General features: G+C 34.8%; 1 long non-coding RNA gene across 1 annotated transcript; it reads right to left on the reverse strand.

Annotated features, from left to right (window-relative positions):
• Positions 1 to 16630: 16630 nt before the first annotated feature.
• On the reverse strand, positions 16631 to 19582 carry LOC107985832 (uncharacterized). Its single transcript, XR_001739228.3, has 3 exons — positions 19507 to 19582; positions 18425 to 18559; positions 16631 to 16767 (listed from the first exon to the last, which is right to left on the reverse strand). It is a non-coding gene; the product is annotated as an uncharacterized LOC107985832 (long non-coding RNA).
• Between the last annotated feature and the right edge of the window lie 931 nt (positions 19583 to 20513).

Consider the following 20513-nt stretch of genomic DNA (forward strand, 5'->3'; position numbering starts at 1 on the left):
TCTCAATAAACTAGGTGTTGATGGAATATACCTCAAAATAATAAGCTTTTTTGACAAACCCACAGCCAATATTACACTGAATGGGCAAAAGCTGGAAGCATTCCCTTTGAAAACTGGCACAAACAAACATGCCCTCTTCTCATCACTCCTATTGGACATAGTATTGGAAGTTCTGGTCAGGCAATCAGTCAAGAGAAAGAAATAAAAGACATTCAAATAGGAAGAGAGGAAGTCAAATTGTCTCTGTTTACAGATGACTTGATTGTGTATATTTAGAAAACCCCACCGTCTCAGCCCAAAAACTCCTTTAGCTGATAAGCAACTTCAGCAAACTCTCAGGATAAAAAAATCAATCTGCAAAAATCACAAGCATTCCTTTATACCAGCAACAGACAAACAGAGAGCCAAATCATGAATGAACTCCCATTCACAATTGCTACAAAGAGAATAAAATACCTAGAATACAACTTACAAGGGACATGAAGGACCTCTTCAAGGAGAACTAGAAAGCACTGCCCAAGGAAATAATAAGAGAGAAATCAAACAAATGGAAAATTTATTCCATGCTCATGGATAAAAAGAATCAATATTGTGAAAACAGCCATACTGTCCAAAGTAATTTATAGATTCAATGCTATTCCTATCAAGTTACCATTGTACTTTCTTCTTAGAATTAGAAGAAACTACTTTAAATTTCATATGGAACCAAAAAAGAACCTGTATAGCCAAGACAGTCCTAAACAAAAAGAAAAAAGCTGGAGGCATCATCCTACCTTACTTCAAACTATACTACAAGGGTATAGTATCGAAAACAGCATGGTATCAAAACATACATTTAGACCAATGTAACAGAATAGAGACTTCAGAAATCAGACCACACATCTACAGCCATCTGATCTTTGACAAACCTGACAAAACCAAGCCATAGGGAAAGGATTCCCTACTTAATAAATGGTACTGGGAAAACTGGCTAGCCATAAGAAGAAAACTAAAACTGCACCTCTTCCTTATGCCTTACACAAAAATTAACTCAAGATGGTTTAAAGACTTGAATATAAAACCCAAAACCATAAGAACCCTAGAAAAAAACCTAGGCAATACCATTCAGGACATAGGCATGAGGAAAGACTTCATGACAAAAATGCCAAAAGCAATTACAATAAAAGCAAAATTGACAATTGGGATCTCATTAAACTAAAGGGCTTTTGCACAACAAAAGAAACTAGCATCAGAGTGAACAGGCAACTTATGGAATGGGAGAAAATTTTTACAACCTACCCATCTGACAAAGGTCGAATATCCAGAGTCAATAAGGAGCTTACACAAATTTACAAGAAAAAAACAAACAACCTCATCAAAAACTGGGCAAAGGATATGAATAGACACTTCTCAAGACATTTATGTGGCCAACAAAGATATGAAAAAAAACTTCATTATGACTGATCATTACAGAAATGCAAATCAAAACTGCAATGAGATACCATCTCACACCAGTCAGAATGGTGATTATTAAAAAGTCAGGAAACAATAGATGCTGGCAAGGCTATGGAGAAAGAGGAACACTATTACACTGCTGGTGGGAATGTAAATTAGTTCAACCATTGTGGAAGACGGTGTGGTGATTCCTCAAGAATCTAGAACCAGAAATACCATTTGACCCAGCAATCCCATTATTGGGTATATAAACAAAAGATTATAAGTCATTCTACTATAAAGACACATGCACATGTATGTTTATTGCAGCACTATTTACAATAGCAAAGACTTGGAACCAACCCAAAAACATATCAATGATAGACCGGATAATGAATGTGCTACACATACAGCATGGAATACCATTAAGCCATAAGAAAGAATGAGATCACGTCCTTTGCAGGAACATGGATGAAGCAGGAAGCCATCATTCTCAGCAAACTAACACAGGAACAGAAAACCAAACACCACATGTTCTTACTTATTAGTGGGAGTTGAACAATGTGAACACATGGACACAGGGAGGGAAACAACACACACCAGGGCCTGTCAGGGGGTTGGGGGCAAGGGGAGGGAGAGCATTAAGACAAATGCCTAATGCATGGGGGGCTTAAAACCTGGATGAGAAATTGATAGGTGCCCCAAACCATCATGGCACATGTATACCTATGAAACAAACCTGCATATTCTGCACATGTATCCCAGAATTAAAGTTATATACATATGTTTAATATCCTACTATTAATTCAATACACATATATAAGACTAGGTGTGAAAATTCACATCAGGTCATCTCCTTTTTCATCTAAAATGACCTAGTACTAATAATTATATTGCTTGAATCAATGAGATAATAAAGTCAAGGGTAAAATTTAACTCATAAATTAAATTTGGGAGCTAGTTTTCTGTTTATAGCCACAAATAATCCAAACAACCAACCACAGTATGTGGTAAAGTCTTTGTTTACATATCGACATCTATTTCAATAGCAGTCCATTTTCAGAAAAGGGTGTGTCAACATGTCAAGGATGATAGGAAGTGTTAGATATTAACACAAACGCATCATCTCCACACACAAAAAAAATCCACAAAAAAAAAGAACACTTGCACTATGTCCTCTAAATATTGAGTTGGCAAACTTACACCCCTAAACTTTCATCATGTTTTAACATTTCATTTTATTTTTTTCTATTCTACTATCCTCATTTAAAGATAAGTATATCTTACCTAGACTATAATAATTTATTTCTTAAACTACAACTTTTATTTGTGTAATGTTCCTTCAGACTTTCTCTGAAAATCCAATAACTCATTGTTTAATTAAACAGATATTTCTATCAACAATAAGTTTTGAATTATGTTACATTCCTTGTAAAAAGTTTGTAATGTGGCTCGTTCCTGAAAGCAGTGGTTGAACAATCTGGTTGCACTTTGTAAAATTGCCTGGGGAGCTTAAAAGTAACAATGACAAAAATAAAACAATAATGCCTTAGCCTTAGCTTACAAATTTTGGTTTATTTGGCCTGAGATGGAGCCCATGTATTAGTATTTTCTAAAATCTCCCTCATAAGGGAATAGACTTGAGAATGACTTGATTATAAGTTGAAGTAAAAAATCCTTAGAAATAGGATGTTATTCCTAACTCTTCTTTATGGTTTAATTGCATATTACACACTACAAAACTGCAAACTCTCAAACACGACAGACTACTCATGATTCTGAAGTCTGTTCTTATGCTTTCTTTGAACTGAACTGATCATTCTCTCAAATTTCTTCACTAACAACCCAAATCCTTCTAATTCCTAGCAGTCAAGTTTAAGACTCTTGGTGAAACATGAATGAATCACTTATAACTGCTTCTTTTAAAAGTCCCTTATTGTTAATTTTATCTTGCTTTTGTTGTGCATGTATTTCTCAGTCAATTGCCAACTCTGTTGTGACTAACATAACAGCTTAAGTGATTCAGCAAAATTCTAGTACTTCATTTTAATTTACAATATTGATTGGGTTAGCACACACTTGTCAGTGGCACATAAATCAGATCAGGCCTGAGTTTCTTTAATTTGTATCATACATACATATTGCCTTTTCAAGATATGCATTATGTGAGCAACAACTATAGCATAAAATATTTAATATTTGATTTATATTGATTTGTTTTTACTTAAACACATTTATTTAAAAAAAAAACTTTCTAATCCCACCATAAATGAAAACAAGTTTTTTCCCGCTATAAAAGTAAGCACAATGAGAAATATTATTTAGCTCTAACCCAATATCAGTTTTCATCTTTTTTGGATTGAAATTATCAAGTTTCATAAAATTACATTTGATGTGCTAACAGAATCTTGTTTTTCCTTGATTTAATCAGAAAAATTAAGAAAGATTTAAAAAGAAAATAATTTGTAATTTATTATTATTTTTTTTTTTTTTTTTGAGAAGGAGTTGCTCTTTTTGCCCAGGCTGGAGTACAATAGCATGATATCAGCTGACTGCAACCTCTGACTCCTGCCTTCAAGCGATTCTCCTGCCTCAGCCTCCCTTGTAGCTGGGATTACAGGCACGTGCCACCACATCCGGCTAATTTTGTATTTTTAGCAGAGACAAGGTTTCACCATGTTGGCCAGGCTGGTCTTAAACTCCTGACCTCAGGTGATCCACCCACCTTGGCCTCCCAAAGTGCTGGGATTACAGGCGCGAGCCACCGCTCCAGGCCCAATTCTTTGTAATTCTTTATAGTGTAACTTATATTTAACATTACTTAGTGATCTATCAATATGTTTTCTAAAATTACTTGATGTACCAAGAGGTCTACCATATGTTTTTAAACATTTACTTAAAAACTATTCAACTGATGGTAACTCAACCACATCTACACCCACCCTCTACACCCTCCCACCCCTTCCCACACACACAGTACATATTTTTAGATGGGAATTATTCTAGACTTGACTATATGTCGAACACCTGTGTTTATATAGAATGAATGTCTTTTAAAAAGACAAACTCAAGACTTCTTTCAGCAGCCCTGGATTATGCACTCAATTTTTTACCTTTTTATATCCTACCAAATCTGTGAATCATGCTTCCAGGGAGAAAAAGAAAAAGTAGTGAAATTTTAGAAATATGTTAGACTGAAATACATTTTATATTTGTTAAAAGTGTTCTCTGGGCACCTACAGATTTAAAGGAAATCTTTATTAAGGAAGCTGTTTGTCCACAATTGTTGAGTAATAGCATTTTATAGAATTTATGTATAAAGTCAACTCACTTTTTAAATAGCCAACATACAACATGTATTAGCTTCAGCTTGATGAGTTAATTAAAAGCAGTTGAGATAGTTTTAAAAATTCCAGGCTTTTAATGTAAAAGGAGAGGTTGAAAAATAATATTTGTAAAGAGCTCAAGAGATGATTTAAAATAGAACATGTTCAAAGAAATGATTGTTAATGCCATAGCTATGATCTTTTGGATATAAATATTTTGTCCTGTTTTCATAAATAGGTTTTTTTTTTTTTTGAGACAGAGTCTCGCTCTGTCACCCAGGCTGGAGTGCAGTGGCACAGGCTCGGTTCACTGCAAGCTCCACCTCCCGGGTTCACACCATTCTCCTGCCTCAGCCTCCTGAGTAGCTGGGACTACAGGCGCCCGCCACCATGCCTGGCTAATTTTTTGTATTTTTAGTAGAGACAGGGTTTCACCATGTTAGCCACGATGGTCTCGATCTCCTGACCTCGTGATCCGCCCACCTCGGCCTCCCAAATTGCCGGGATTACAAGCGTGAGCCACCGCACCTGGCCTCATAAACAGTTTTATCTTTGGACTAATTTTACAAAAACTTCTTTCCTGATCTAATCTCTTAGTATAACCAGTATTTTCTATTTGCTTAAAGGAAAAATATTTCATAAAACCTATGCATCTACATTCATTTTAATAGTCCTAGCTACCTAAAACCTTCCATACATAGAGAAATACACTTACATTATTATTGTCTGCTTCGAGAAATTGGAAGTTAAAAATGGAAGAATTTCTTCTTAGTGAAAAACTAAAATCAGTAGTTAATGGGTCAATATAATGTTATGCAACACTTTAAAGGAAATGAAATAATTATTTACCTATATGACCTGAAGGCAAGTTATTTGAAATTATTTGAAAAAATTTCACACTAAAATAAGGTGTTCAACTGAAATGGAAAAAAAAAATTATAAAAGGAATCGATATTTCCTAGCTTTCCTTGGATAGTGGAAAGGGGCCCTAACTCAAGAACAGGAATATTAGTTAAGTGTAACAAGCATACCCCTAATGGAGAGATAACTAACAAACAATTTTTGCTTTTTAAATTTAGGTATTAAGATTATTCATTTAATACCTGACTTATTTTACTTAGCCTAATGCCCTAAAGGTTAATTCCTATTGCCAAATATGACAGGATATGTAATTTTTATTTGTAACTTATACATCAATTTAAAAAATAATAAAATAAAATATTTCTTATAAAAAACATAATAATAAAAAAATCATTCATTCATTTAAATTTCCTATTCTTATTCCCCCATGTTTGGAAACTAAACTGTAATTAAAGCATGGCTCTTAATTTGTAGGTTGCTATATATTACCTACAGGAAGGTAGTGTGTGAGCTCTTATTTTATATTTTGCCAAATTCTTGCAATTTTAAGGCAATGGGTACTTGCAGTGGCAAATGTAGCATAACATCTTTAAAAAGAGCCGTATATCTCAAGTTAAAAATAAGTCAGAAACTTACCCAAGACCATGCTATACTCTCTTCTTCTGCCTCCAGGATCCTTGAACATGGCAATATTCTATAGGCTCTCAGAGTCAATATTAATGTTAATGGTGGAAAATTGGAAAATTAAACTAGTAAATACTATTGAGGATAAAAATATAAACAAGAACCTAAAGGACAAAAATTCAGGAAGTGAAGACAAATTCTGCATGGGAATAATCATTGCAATAATATCACTGGGTTACATCAGTGGAAAGACAAGACTGCACATGGCATACTCATGCGAGGAATGCCTTAATAAACATAAAGGATATGGAACAACAAGGAAAAGAAAACACAGGCAATAGCACAGAAGTCCAAAATCATTCACATGTAGTCCTCTAACATGCTTTCTTCATCTCGCAGGAAATACTTTGGTTTTAGATTATGAACCACCAAGGTATGTGCAATAGTTTTCAGTGACAGGGGAGCCCATATACAAGTTTACTGAGGGGTCTTTTATCCCATTTGTCACTTGGCTAAAGCCAGGCTTTTTCTCTATTAAGCCAGGAGCAAATGATTAATGTCTGTTTCTCTAAACAAGAGAGACAAGTTAGTACCATGTGTTCCATGAGAGTTTTGAATTTTAAACAACAGGTTATAAATCATTAGCTAGCACAGCTCATTCTTCCCTTTACTAATGGTCAGTAACAGGATTCTCAGCTTCCCTGGAGATAAACATAGTGCTGTGCCAGTGCAGATGTAAGATAACTCTACTCTTGCAAACTCATAAAAGGCTGAATGATGTGAAATTAAATGAATAACCTAAGTCTCAGGCTCAGTGTGCAAGTTATTTTATAGGCCCTATGGCCCCTGTCATGTCATGCTGAAGTATCTAAACAAATCAAAACCAAACTTTGTATTAGATATAATACAGCATGGCCAAGTAGTAATTATTCCAAAGTTAAAAAGAAACTTAGTATAACTAAATCTATTAAACTACTGACTAATGACCAAAGTAAGATATCAATAAATAATACCTACAATCCAGTACAAACCACCTCAAAACTCCTCAGACACATGTTTATAAAGCTACAGGATTAAATGGTGGTTTTATACCTCGACTAGGGGTCAGAGTCATGGCATTCCTACCAGAAAGGTGTGAAATACCCAATTGTTCCACATCCACACCATTACTAGACATTCTTTTATCTTTTAGATATTCTGAGTGTGTAATGTTACACTAGGGGTTTGTTTTTGACAGAGTTTTGCCTTGTCGCCCATGCTGGAATGCAGTGACACAATCATGGCTCACTGCAGCCTCCACCTCCTGGGCTCAAGTGATCCTTCTGCCTCAGCCTTCTGAGTAGCAAGAACTACAGGTGTGTGTCACCACACCCAGCTATAGCTTTTAATGTTTTGTAGAAGTGGGGTCTTGCCATATTGCCCAGGCTGGTCTTGAACTCCTGGCCTCAAGTGATCCTCCTGCCTTAGCCTCCCAAAGGTTGGGATTACAGGCATGAACCACTGTGCCTGCCTGTACATTAGTCTTAAGAATAAATTTCCAAGAAAGGTGACCCTATAAAGAGAGTTCATTTAGACTATATTTTACTTTGTTATTATGAATTTCACCAATTTCTTAATCATTATGCCTATAAATTTTCTGGAGTAAAATGCATAAAACTACATGTATTAAGACTGTAAGATTAAGTAGTAAAAGTAAAGCATTAATTTACATTATTGACTTTGAAACAATGTTTAAAAGATAATAAGTATGATTATATATGAGTTAAAGTTCCTCAGGAGAACTTTTGTGCCTGTGTGTGTGTGTGTGTGTGTGTGTGTGTGTGTGTTTATGGATGAGAGAGAGGGAGAAAGATAAAATATAAGTGAATATCAATATAATTGTTATTTTAGAAATACTTTAAGAAGTAATATATAGTCTGTTAAGTAATAGTCAAATAAGGAAATAAATTAAGCCTGAATTACTGTTGGTTTGTCAAAAAAAAAAGGTTAAACATGAACATCAAAACGGTACTGAGTAATTTCCTATTGCCTATGATTATTTTTATTATTTGAGAAATATGTTTCAATATAACCAACTTATAGTACCCCACAGCTACATATTAAAAATTGAAAATATGCCAAGCAAACTCTTAATTTAAGAGGATTAATGAGATTAGAAGTTGAATTGATTTTTTAAATATTAAATATATTTGTTTATTATAGAAAAATGAACATTTTATAAAATATTCTACCTATGGGCTGGGAGCAGTGGCTCACACTTGTAATCCCAGCACTTTGGGAGGCCAAGGAGGGCAGATCACCTGAGGTCAGCAGTTTGAGACCAGCCTGGCCAACATGGCGAAACCCCATCTCTACTAAAAATACAAAAATTAGCTGGGTGTGGTTGCAGGCACTGTAACCCCAAGCTACTCAGGAGGCTCAGTCAAGAGAATCACTTGAACCCAGGAGGCGGAGGTTGCAGTGAGCCGAGATTGAGCCACTGGACTCCAGCCTGGGTGACAGAATGGGACTCCATCTCAAAAATTAAAAAAAATAAATAAATAAAATAAAGAACGAAAAATAAAAAAAATTCTTCCTATGTTTTTATGAACACAAAAACTTCAGCATAGAGTGCACAAATATGTCTTTGCTTTCTCATGCTGTGGCCTCATTTTCAAATGCAATAGCTTTACATGGATCTACAGTGAAATATATTCTCAATCTATCATTTTGGGGGTTGGAGTGTTGGGAGGTGGGTACAAAGAATATCATACGCCTTCTTATACAACCAGATAAGTAAACGAGATGCGGAAGCAGGAAGACACAATTCATATTATATATAAATTTTAATTAATAGCTTTCCACAAAATTTGTTAATATAAAATATATTGAACTTACAATTATTTCCAGGTGATTTTGAGCTTATATTATCATTGATCATCACCTCCTTTATTTGGCACCTTGCAATCCATAAAATTAATTTAAAATAATTATATATTTGATATTTGGAGAGCCCTCTCTTTAAATCACACTTGGACGTCTTAGGAATCACTATTAGAAGAACTCATTTAAATTAAAAGTACTTATTAAGATGTATTTGCGAAGAAAAGGCTTAGTTACTTGGTGAAATAACACCCGCACATTTCAAAATTAGAAGGCAAAAACAATCCTAGTTAGCAATATACAAAAGATATGTTTTAAAAATAAAGTAATATTGGCAAAGTTTATTCCAACAGTTCTAGGCTTTATGATGTGACACATTTTTATTCCATTAATCTGACAATGTGGACTATCCAGACTCAGCCAACAAACTGGAAAGAAATCTCAGATTTTTTAAAAGTTGAATTATACGTTTAAAAGCCCATGAGCAAGAATTGTACACTTGAATAAAGTTACCAGGTTTCATACACCACAGCATAATAAAAATAGTGTCTTATAAAGGGTAAGAAGAGGCATACCTCTTGACAACAGCAAAATTGACACTTGATGATTGAAAAATAATTTTCATTTTGTTTTGTTTTGTTTTAATGGAAAACATATTAGAATCCCATGGCTAGGATACTCAGTTTAGCGAATAACTGGTATAAATATGGCTATTGTCAGAGTAAACATTTTTCCTTAAAAGCTTTAGTTATATGGAAACTGATGCATATAAAATATTACATTCACTGACCAGGTGTGCTGGCTCATGCTTGTAGTCCCAGCTACTCTGACTGTTGAGGTGGGAGGATTGCTTGAGCCCGGGAGGTTAAGGCTGCAGTGAGCTCTGACTACCACTGTGCTCCAGCCTGGGTGACAGAATGAGACCCTGCCAAAAAAATAAGAATAATAAAATAAAAGATTACATTCAGTATTACTGTTGTGTAACATTTTTCTAGAGTAATCATGCTACATTTTGTAATGCTTAAACTATAATTACAATATAAGCATAAATTGTTTCTTCCCTTTAAGAATGAAATAATTCAATTTTTTTTTACTCACCTAGGAACTAGCTGGCCATTCATGTAGGTAGAAGGATTTAATCTGCATAGATTTGCATTGTGAGTTTGGAAATAAGTTCTAAGATATTTTAAGACATTGAGAATGCTCACTACTGGAAAATACTCATATGAAGAATGCTTTCTTTCCATGTAAAGTCATGGGGCATGGTCTACTAGGGTAGGTGAGCCCACATACCTAAAAATATAAATATTTTAAATGAACAGATTTTTTTCCAGTGTGCAACAACTATGACAACTAAGACATTGTTTCTTGCCTCATCTCATATCTACTATTTTCATTCCTGATTCTAGTCTGATTATTTTGGGGCATTTAGAGAACATTTGGTATAATTGGCACATTTAAAAAATTATTTAATTCTCATAACTCTACAAGGTAGATATTTTAATTATTTCCATATCAAATATATGAAAGCTGAGGCACGTAGGTAAGTGACTGGACCAAGGCAGTACAGTTAGAAAATTGACTGGTCAGGATTAAAATACGGGTTGTTGCCTCCAGGGTTTGCACTCTTAACCTGAAAATATACGGATTCTATATTTAAAATATTTACAGACCATCTTAGAAATTTTACTCTTATTTACAAGGGAGATCACCTTCAAGTACACAAACAAACAAATAAAAAATAATTTGAGGGAGGAAAAAAACCTCACACATTTAGGAATTGGGATCATATTGTATAAATATCACTTATTTTCATCATTGTTCTATGAACTTAATTTTACATTATACATTAGCACACAAAATTTTTCAAATATTTTTCCAGTTTTCAATACTCTTACAATATTTAAAGGCTTCTCTGTTGTTTTGTTTTGGTCTCAATATGCCAGATAATATAAACAATGAAACTCTAATAGATGGTAGCGTGGCCTAGGAATCCAGAAATATGAAAATACTGACCAAAACCATAGCCTACTTTCTCCAGAAGGTCCTCAGTGGATTAAAAATCCACTTGAAAAGAATGGCAAGGAAAGTAAAAACACTACTGGGTTGTTGATTTTGAACCTTATGTGCAAAAAAATGTGGTAAAACAGACTGAAGTGTAACAATAAGGGGTCACACCCCCTGCTTCCCATACTCAAACATGAATCATAAAATGTTACACTTCAGTGATCCATATAGAGAGGAAGTACCGATGACATGAAAAGAGGAAGAATACAAATGTCCTCCTTAGCTATTTTCTGGGAGAGCCTGCAAACATTCTGTCTTCAGCGTCCTGAGATATGATTGGTTGGATTGGTTATCTTAAATGCCTGGAGGAAAACACAACACAACACAACACAACACACTTCTTTCTCCATCTTTGAGCATCTGAGATGGATCTCTTTTCACCCCTGAGCCAGGCCAACTACAATTTTGTGTCAGCCTCCACCTCTTGCTTGCACCGGGCCCACAGATCCACCAAGTCCATCTTTTCTGAGGAAAAGTTGCACTTTGTTTTCTCCTATATGCGTAGTTGCTGTTCTGAACTCTTACTCTCCCAAGGAATTTCGTCTTTGGCCTCTGTTTTCCCAGGCTTTTGGATCTGTCTTCTTCTTGCCCTGTATCCTGTCCCTTGCCCTAGGCAGGCATAGGCAATAAATGTCTTTAATCTTCCAGCAGATACCCAGAAAGCCCCTTCAGCCTAAAGAGGGAGAAACAAAGGTCATCCTCTGCATGTCCTTCAGGGAACCACCAGACAGCTCAAACGCATGAACTTATTTTTAAGACAAATCCATATTAGGGAGAGATAGCATTAGGAGATATACCTAATGTTAAATGAAGAGTTAATGGGTGCAGCCCACCAACATGGCACATGTATACATATGTATCAAACCTGCACGTTGTGCACATGTACCCTAAAACTTAAAGTATATATAAAAAAAAAATCTCTGTTACCAATGAGCCACACCAGGAATGCCAACCCTGTCCCCACGGATGCAGTTGCTGGCTGGGGAATGGAGGATGTTACGTTCGTAGGTGCGTTTTTACCAAAATTCCGCTGCCCCTTTTCTCCTTAAATGGCCCCTTGGATGCTGCAAAATTTAGAATAGATTCCAGGGTTTTGAAAGAGTTAATTCCACCAGTCTTTGCCAGCTGAGGTTTACTTTAATGAAGGGACTGATTATTTGCAGCTGAGTGCCCTACTTCACCATTTACTGTATGTCACAGTCTGTGGTCTACATTTATTTTTTGCTACTTTTATTGTCCTGTGAATATAGGTTTGTTTTTTACTCCAAAAGAGAATCTGTTTATATGATTGTTGAATGGGAAATCAAAAGAAAATAACATTATGCCTACAACTACACCTCCAAAATAAAATATATGTTTGCAAGTGTGTGTCCTCTGTTATTTTCATCATGATTCAAAAAGATTTTTTTAAATATTCACTGAGCATACAGTGGTGTGATTCCGTTTGAACTAATTATTTTCAATATACCACCTTGATATACAATTCAACACATTACTTTAATTTGTTTTTAATGTACTCTTTTAAAATATTGATTTAATTTTACTTTGATAAATCATTTTATTTTATTCCAATCAAGAAAACCAATAAAACCTGGGAGGTCTATGGGATTTTTTTTTTTTCTTTTTTTTTTTTTCAGCTTTGAGAGACTGCCTGCATTATTTAGCTCCTGCCTCTTTGTCTTGCATCACTCTAACTTTTTGCTTGTGTTGTCACATCTCCTATTGTCACATCTGCAAAGTCCTTTTTAGCATATAAGGTAACATTTGTAGTTTCTGGGGATTAGGACATGAATATCTTTGGGAGACATTAGTCAACCTACCACAGAAACAATTCTTAAAGAAATAAAATCCAAGAAAACAAGAATCATCAATAACAATAGAATATGCATCTTAAAAAAGTAATTATAAACCATACTATACATTTGTGGTGTTAGCAATTTTGTACTTCTGTTTAAATCCATACACTTGCTACTCTAAGATGTGTCACTATTACAATAGATGTTCCTAAACACCCTCCAGATGAAAGCAAATGCCTGCATTGTTCTTCTGTTTATTTGATTACATAGTGACAGAATTGCTAGCACCAGAAAAATTAAATTGCCCTAATTCAGCAGAGTCAGCCAGTTACATATAGTAAAATAATTTATGGGCATTCCAAGCTAATTTATTTGAGGGAAACATGATAACATACCTCAGGCAGATCCATTTAGTAAATGCACTCTGTGGCTAGGAGAAATGGAGTTTGATATTGACTAATCTGAGCCATTGAGTTGTCTGCTGAGAAGAAATTGGAAGATTACTTTTATATTTGGAGTATTTTGATGGGAATATGAATGCCCCAGATGTGAGGCCAAAAGAATTTGAGGTATAGAAATGAAAAAGTTTGTCATTAACATCACCATCTCAAACTATGTCTCAGGTGTGTACTGTTATGTTTTTCTTCCAATTTTCCTTTATTTCCCAGCTAGAATATAAACTCTATTAGAACAGGACACTTTTCTTTCTTCTTCATGACTTTAGTGCCTAACTAATATTAGGCATTCAATAAATAACCAGTTAATGCTTTCAGTTGATTTTTGTTAAATGTCAGTCAGTTTTGAATTACCACAAACTTGCTCATGAAAGCCTCATCGAAGCAAATAAAATTATCAATATATATGTCTCAATTGGTTTTCCTCACCCCAGAAATATATTTAAGAATATTAGATTATGGCAAAGTTTTTGTTTATTGTATACTTGTTACCAACAGTGATATTTGCTTTAATAATATAGATATTTTACTTAATTATTACTAACTGATCTCTAATTTTGTTCATGACAGCAGTCTCCAGTTAAAATTTCTCATCTCCCTAGGTTTCCTTGCGACTAGATATAGCCATATGACATCATTCTGACCAGTGTTATAAACAGAAATATACTAGTTGCAGATTACAGAAAGTTACTGTTTTTCTAACTTAAAAAAAACCATAATTAATATGTGCATATCTTTTTGTTTTTTATCTTACAATTTTATTTTTTACTAGAATTTGAACTCAGTGCCTAGGTGTGGAGAAGCCATTTTTAAACCAAAAGGCTAAAAGCTCCATCATAAAGAAAGTAAAGACAAAGCTAGTATGTGCCTGGGTCTTTGATGACTTTGTGGACTAGCTGCAGTAGCCATGGGATGTATACCTCTGTACTCCTTGCCGCTTGAAGAAAACTACCACCTATTCACTAAAGCAAGATTTCTGTTACATGCAGCAACACAGTCTTTATTATTATAAAGCTATTGAAATAATGTTGTTTTCTTAACCTAGTCTTGTCAGTTGAAATGACAGACAATATTATAAGTCAAGAAAACATCCAATTCTCAAAATAATTCCTATAAAATGATTTTTACTCTGAAGTGTCCAGATGACGATGAAGAAAATCTTACATGGTGGATAACCAGTTCACATAATTGTAAGAGTTAAAGAAAGAGGAAACAAACACGAAAAGTGGCTCAACAGTCAAAGACAGGCTTATTTTGGAGAATAAACCTGACAGGGGCTTCTGGCTGACTTTGGTCAGGAGTGATCTCTTTTACAGACTAAGGGCATTTATTGTTGTGAGAGCTTGGAATGTTTCTGTGTCTGGGAGAAGTTTCTGTTACGGCTGGAATGTCTTTGGTCAGAGGGGAGGTTATCTTGGGGCTGACATCTCTCTGTCTGGAGGGGAGGTTATCTCGGGCCTGGGATGTCTCTGGTCAGGGAGGGCTTTGGACTATTTCTGGTCAGAGATGTTATTTGTGGTTTACGGTCATGCTGACCTTAGCCATTAGGCTGATGCCCTTTGGATTTAGGTGGTTTTTGATCAAGGTGAAATTTAAAATGACGGTACTTGTCCAAGACAGCGATGCTCCTACTCTGTCAATAATGAGGGACTCTGCCAATAACCTGCTCAAAAACCTGACTCTAGGCTCAGGTTGTTTATTTTATCAAAATGGCTTCAATTAGAAAACTAATATTTATTAGCCTGTTAAATTCTCAATTTTCTGTAATTCAAACATATAATTAAAATAGCTCCCTATAACACCCACATAAAGCAATGGGACTATGGTCTGGTTAGAATATTGTGTTATTTTTCAAAAAAAATCTAGATTTATTAAATATTTAGACATGAGTGAATTATTAGAGTTGGGAGTAAAAATCTGACATGAAACATAATATTTGTTCACATTACTGTATTTGTTTTGTTTATTCTGAAAGCAGTGACTGGTTTGAATTTATAAATTTGAAGTTTTAATTCACTGATATATATTTAAATTTGAGTCTGGTTTGAATTTACAAATTTGAAGTTATAATTCACTGACATATATTTAAATTTGAATCTTTTTTTATTAATTATACATGATTCATGTGGTCCCTTTTAAGCTGATAATTCTTCCCTTCGGGTATATATATGTATATTTTTTCATTAGTTCTTTTTCTTCTCTATGTGCTGTATTATTTCTTTTAAAAGTAACATATGGTCACCTGAATAATTTATCTAAATATTTTATCTTTTCTTTAGTAAAGTGTTTGCATTTTTGTTCCAGATTCTGGTAAGATTTTTCAGCTTGATCTTCCAGTTCCCCAGTTCAATATTTGGTGAAGTGCATTATGTGTGTCTCACATATTTTATTGTGTTACTGTATTCACAATCTTGTTAATTTTTAGGAATTATTTAGCCATCTTCAACTTTCCTTTCACAGTAGAATTCTAGTAATATTTTATTTATGCAATTTTTTTCTTTTTTTTGAGACTGAGTTTTGCTCTATTGCCCAGGCTGGAGTGCAGTGATGCAATCTCGCTCACTGTAACCTCCACCTCCTGGGTTCAAGTGATACTACTGACTCAGCCTCCTGAGTAGCTGAGATTACAGGTGCTTGCCACCACGCCTGGCTAACTTTTGTATTTTTAGTAGAGGCAGAGTTTCATCATGTTTGCCAGACTGGTCTCGAACTCCTGACCTCAAGTGATTTGCCTGCCTCTGCCTCCCAAAGTGCTGGGATTACAGGCATGAGCCACTGCACCCAGCCTTATTTATTCAATATCTCCTTGAATAACTCTGAGATTTGGCTCCCCACATTAACTCATTCATTGAAATAATATGTTTGCATAATATGGTTTCTCTTTCAGGATCCATATTCTACTTATTCTACTATTATTTATTTTCTATATAGATTTATAAATTATCATGTAAATTGAAAACACCTAGAAGCTTGTTTGTATTTTCTTACTTACTTTGTATAATAATTGCTCAGCTCACTTTATAAGATTCTCTTGCATACATGTATCGACACGCTATACTCACATGCAGATAGATGATAGATATGTATATACTTTTTTCTGAAACATTTGCCCCATTACTTTGAAATAATTCAGTGTGTATGTGTAAAAACAAAGACATTCTTCTATAATCACAGTAATTTCAGACAAATGAAACTTTAACAAAATAGCACAAATATTTCTGTATACCTTTCTTTCAAATTCTCAAATGTTAACATTTTACCACACTTGCTTTAGAGCTTCTTTCTTTTTTGCGTAAGACTTTTGCATGCAGGCTGCAGATTGGATGTCAGTTTATCTCTAAATACACACTCTGACATGTGTATCTGCAAAATAAATTAGAATATTGTTTTGAGTAGCCATGGAAAATTATCAAAATTATCAAAAATTAACATAATAATGTTAATTAATATGAACATTATTAAAATATTATTATCTAATCTACACACCTAATTAATGAAGCCAATTGTGTCACAAGTATCATTTTTCTGGTCTAGAGTTTAATCCAGTATATGTGTGACTCCCTTCTTTCTGCTGATATTATGCAAGCAAAATTATGTTCCTGTGGGATTGGGAAGCTGTTCTCAATAGGGATTCCAATATGGATATTAAGGTGAATAAACAGAATGAAAAATGAGGTATGATAATTTGTAGGCTTACTTTAGGGTAAAGAAGCACTGAATCAGCCCTCTAGCTGTTGACACTCATATTAGGAAAAAAGAGAGAGAGAAAATGAAAGAACTAATAATTTGGGGGTACAACATTTATGCAAGAGAAAATATCCATTATTTCCACTGATTGTTTGCTTTATAGGTTCAAGTTTTCATGTCTTGCAGAGAAAAGGGGTGCTTACCAATACCTTCATACTGTATTTGGTTTGATTTAATCTAATTTAATTGCCTGATTTTGATCTATTTATTCCATCCATGTGACTGACATCTTATCGTGAAACTGAACCTAGAACTTCTACAAAATTCTACTGGAAAGAGTAGCTTCCACGGTATATATTCTTGGCTTTGTTTTCTTGCATACACTTCATCATGTACATTTTATTCCTCCAAGTAATTAATTCAAATATATTTTACTACTTATAATAATCCTCCCTGTACCCTGCTGTCTTCTCACTATTAAGCCTTTCTTTTTCACAGAATTTCTGTACTTTTACTTCAATGAAGCCTTCATAACAATAGAAGGAAAGTGTATGTGTCATTTCTAACAACGTGAGAGTGAGTTTACTCTATTTTTAAATAAAACAAAATAATATCTTATTAATTTTCATTTGATAACATTTAGTTTAAATACAGTGACTAAAATAGAAAATTGCTTTGGTATCATCTTTCAAGTCCTACAAATGGTATCTAAAATTATAAAAGAAAAAATACCAGTTATATAATAATAACATCAGAGTATTGATTTATAGAAAACACATGAACCAAAAATGCTAAGCCACTTAGCATACAGGGTACATTCTGACTCATTTTCACTGCCATACTTTAATTTTAGTCAGAAATATCTCAACAGGTATACAGAGCTGCAATTAAATAACCTTTTTTAAGCAGATCCTCAATTACATATCACACATGTTACAGGATTCTTTTGGTACTGCTTCGCCAGCTAGAAATCTCTGTGGCTGCCATGACCTCTGCCTGGGGACTCGTACAGGCCTACTGGGGTCACTCTGCCCACTAGGTCCAGCTGATTGTACTCAGCTTGCACTACCAGCCCAGATCCCATGCCCACCCTGGCTCCACACAGCCTGCAGCTGAACTGCGTGTGCCACAAGCAGCTTCTGCATTGGGCACGAGCATCTAGATAAGGGGAACATGGTGGTACTCCAAAATTAGGAGATGCCATCAATTGTGGAGCCCCAAGGGATGTTACAGCTCTTCTTCAGGGAGTCCTGAGGTCTGAGCCCCCAAGAAATGTTGCACCTTTTGTAGTTCAGCAAGCAGGAGGGAATGCCATTCAGCGGCTTTTTCTCACCCATTGCTCAGCAAGCAGTAGGGAGTGGTATCCAGTGGCTTCACTTCTTCATGCTGGCAGCATGGCAAACACGGGTATGTTACAGCTCTCTTGTTTCTGCCACCCACAGCTCAGCAAGGTCTGGGCTCTTGTCCCCTGACCAAGAGGAATAAGGTTCATGGAAACCAGAAAGTGAGTAAGGCAGATAATTTTATTGAGTGACACAGGAAAGCTCTCAAATATAAGAGGGGACCCTGAAAGTGGGTTGCCCTCAGCAGTAAGAGGGAGCCCAAAAGTGGGTAGCCATTGGCTGCAAGAGGGCCCTGAAAGTGGGTAGCCCCCTGAGGCTGAGTCCAGGGTTTTTATGGGCTCAGAATGGGGGAGTACATGCAGATTGGTCCATGGGTGGTCTTTGGAAAAAGAACCATTCAGTTGGCTGAAAGGCATCATCCAAAAGGAACCAATTGAGAGAGAATGGGTAAGACATTGATAGAAGTTCTCACTCTGGTTGTGGACTCTGTATTTCTTATTGACTTCACAGATATATCATCATTTAATAATTTTAGGTATTATTGCATAAAATCAAAACAAAATAGTAAAACAGTATGCATCTATGCATGTTTCTGTATTTCAAAGTCACACATTTAGGGCAATTTTAACATTAAAATGGACACATAGTGGTAATGGCACCCAGAAACTATTGTGTACCTATATATAATACACACACACATATGTGTTTTTTATTCATATAGATATATACACACACACACATAAACATATATTTATGCATATGGGCTAGAGAAAGAATTTGAAATATTGATATTCAGAAAAAACACCTGTAGTAGGCTAAATTATACAGTTACAATCTAACCTCACATAATTAATAAGTCTATGACCATAGGAAACTTACTCAATCTCCTTTTATCTCTTTTTTCTCACTGTTATTTAGGGAAAATGCTTATCCTATTGAATTAATATTTGAGGAGAAAAATGTTTGTAGACAGACTATGTATAAAAATGTACATTAATTTCATGTAAATTTGTGTCCCTTCTCTACCACAACTCCACTCTTTCCATCCTGCCCTGTACCCTGGGAAGCTCACCTGCATGGACTACATGAAGATTTCCTTGCCGTGTGGCTTCTCGTTAAGGTTAAGCAATGAGAGTACAAGCCCAACACTGAAATGTAAAGAGGGGAGAGATACTAGTGAGCTTTTTCTAGTCTTTCAGATTAACAAGGATCACCTGTGTTATTCTACTTAAAGACACAATTCCTGTCCTACAGCCATTCTCTCCATGAGTTTGAGTAATGACTCTCTCCCATTGACCTTAGTGTTCAACAGATGATAATGCCTCCCAAATTTTGCTCTGTGATACCACTACTCCATGTGTTGTTGATATTCTTAACTTTGACTATATATGTACTAATAGTTCCTTTGTTGAATTTTTTAAATCACTAGAGTGATTGTGCACATTGGCTTAATTACAGTTCCAGTTTATGCTTCTTGTTCTGGTGTACTTATTAATTTCAGATTAGCAGGGATTGGACAGTAGGTGATATGTTCAACTTATGAGTAATCTCACTCGAGTAGGCTATCTTTCCTGATGTAACCCTGACAGACAGAGACCATTCTAAAAATATTAGTATATTTAATAATCATTCAGTAAATAGTATACAAACATAATTATTTTAGCTCTTAATAAACAGATTTTTAATAAAATATGCATCCAGAAATCATTGAGAAATTAAACCTAAATAAAGTTTTATATCCACAGGTAAAAGTTATTTGGTATTAAAATGATGAGAGCTCAAACTTTTTTGTTGTTTAATTCAGACTTAGCTGCAGAAGTGGAAGTGTTCTCTAAATTACTTCATGTAGCTCATGAAGCAACCTTGTCACTACAGAGGATGCCTGATTAATGAGACTTTTTAATATACTTTTATAGGCAAATTTTCTCATAATATTCAGATATTATTAACATTTTCTCTGTGGCTTATTTTATGTTTTTGTCATAAAGTGTAGAATGGCCGGAAAATCTCATGACAATGTACCTAATTTCATGGTAAGGGATTCAAAGGTATTTGTTTAAAACTTCAGAATTTTGAAAA

This window comes from Homo sapiens, chromosome 2 (assembly GCF_000001405.40).
Source record: "Homo sapiens chromosome 2, GRCh38.p14 Primary Assembly".
In the NCBI taxonomy this organism is placed as follows: domain Eukaryota; kingdom Metazoa; phylum Chordata; class Mammalia; order Primates; family Hominidae; genus Homo; species Homo sapiens.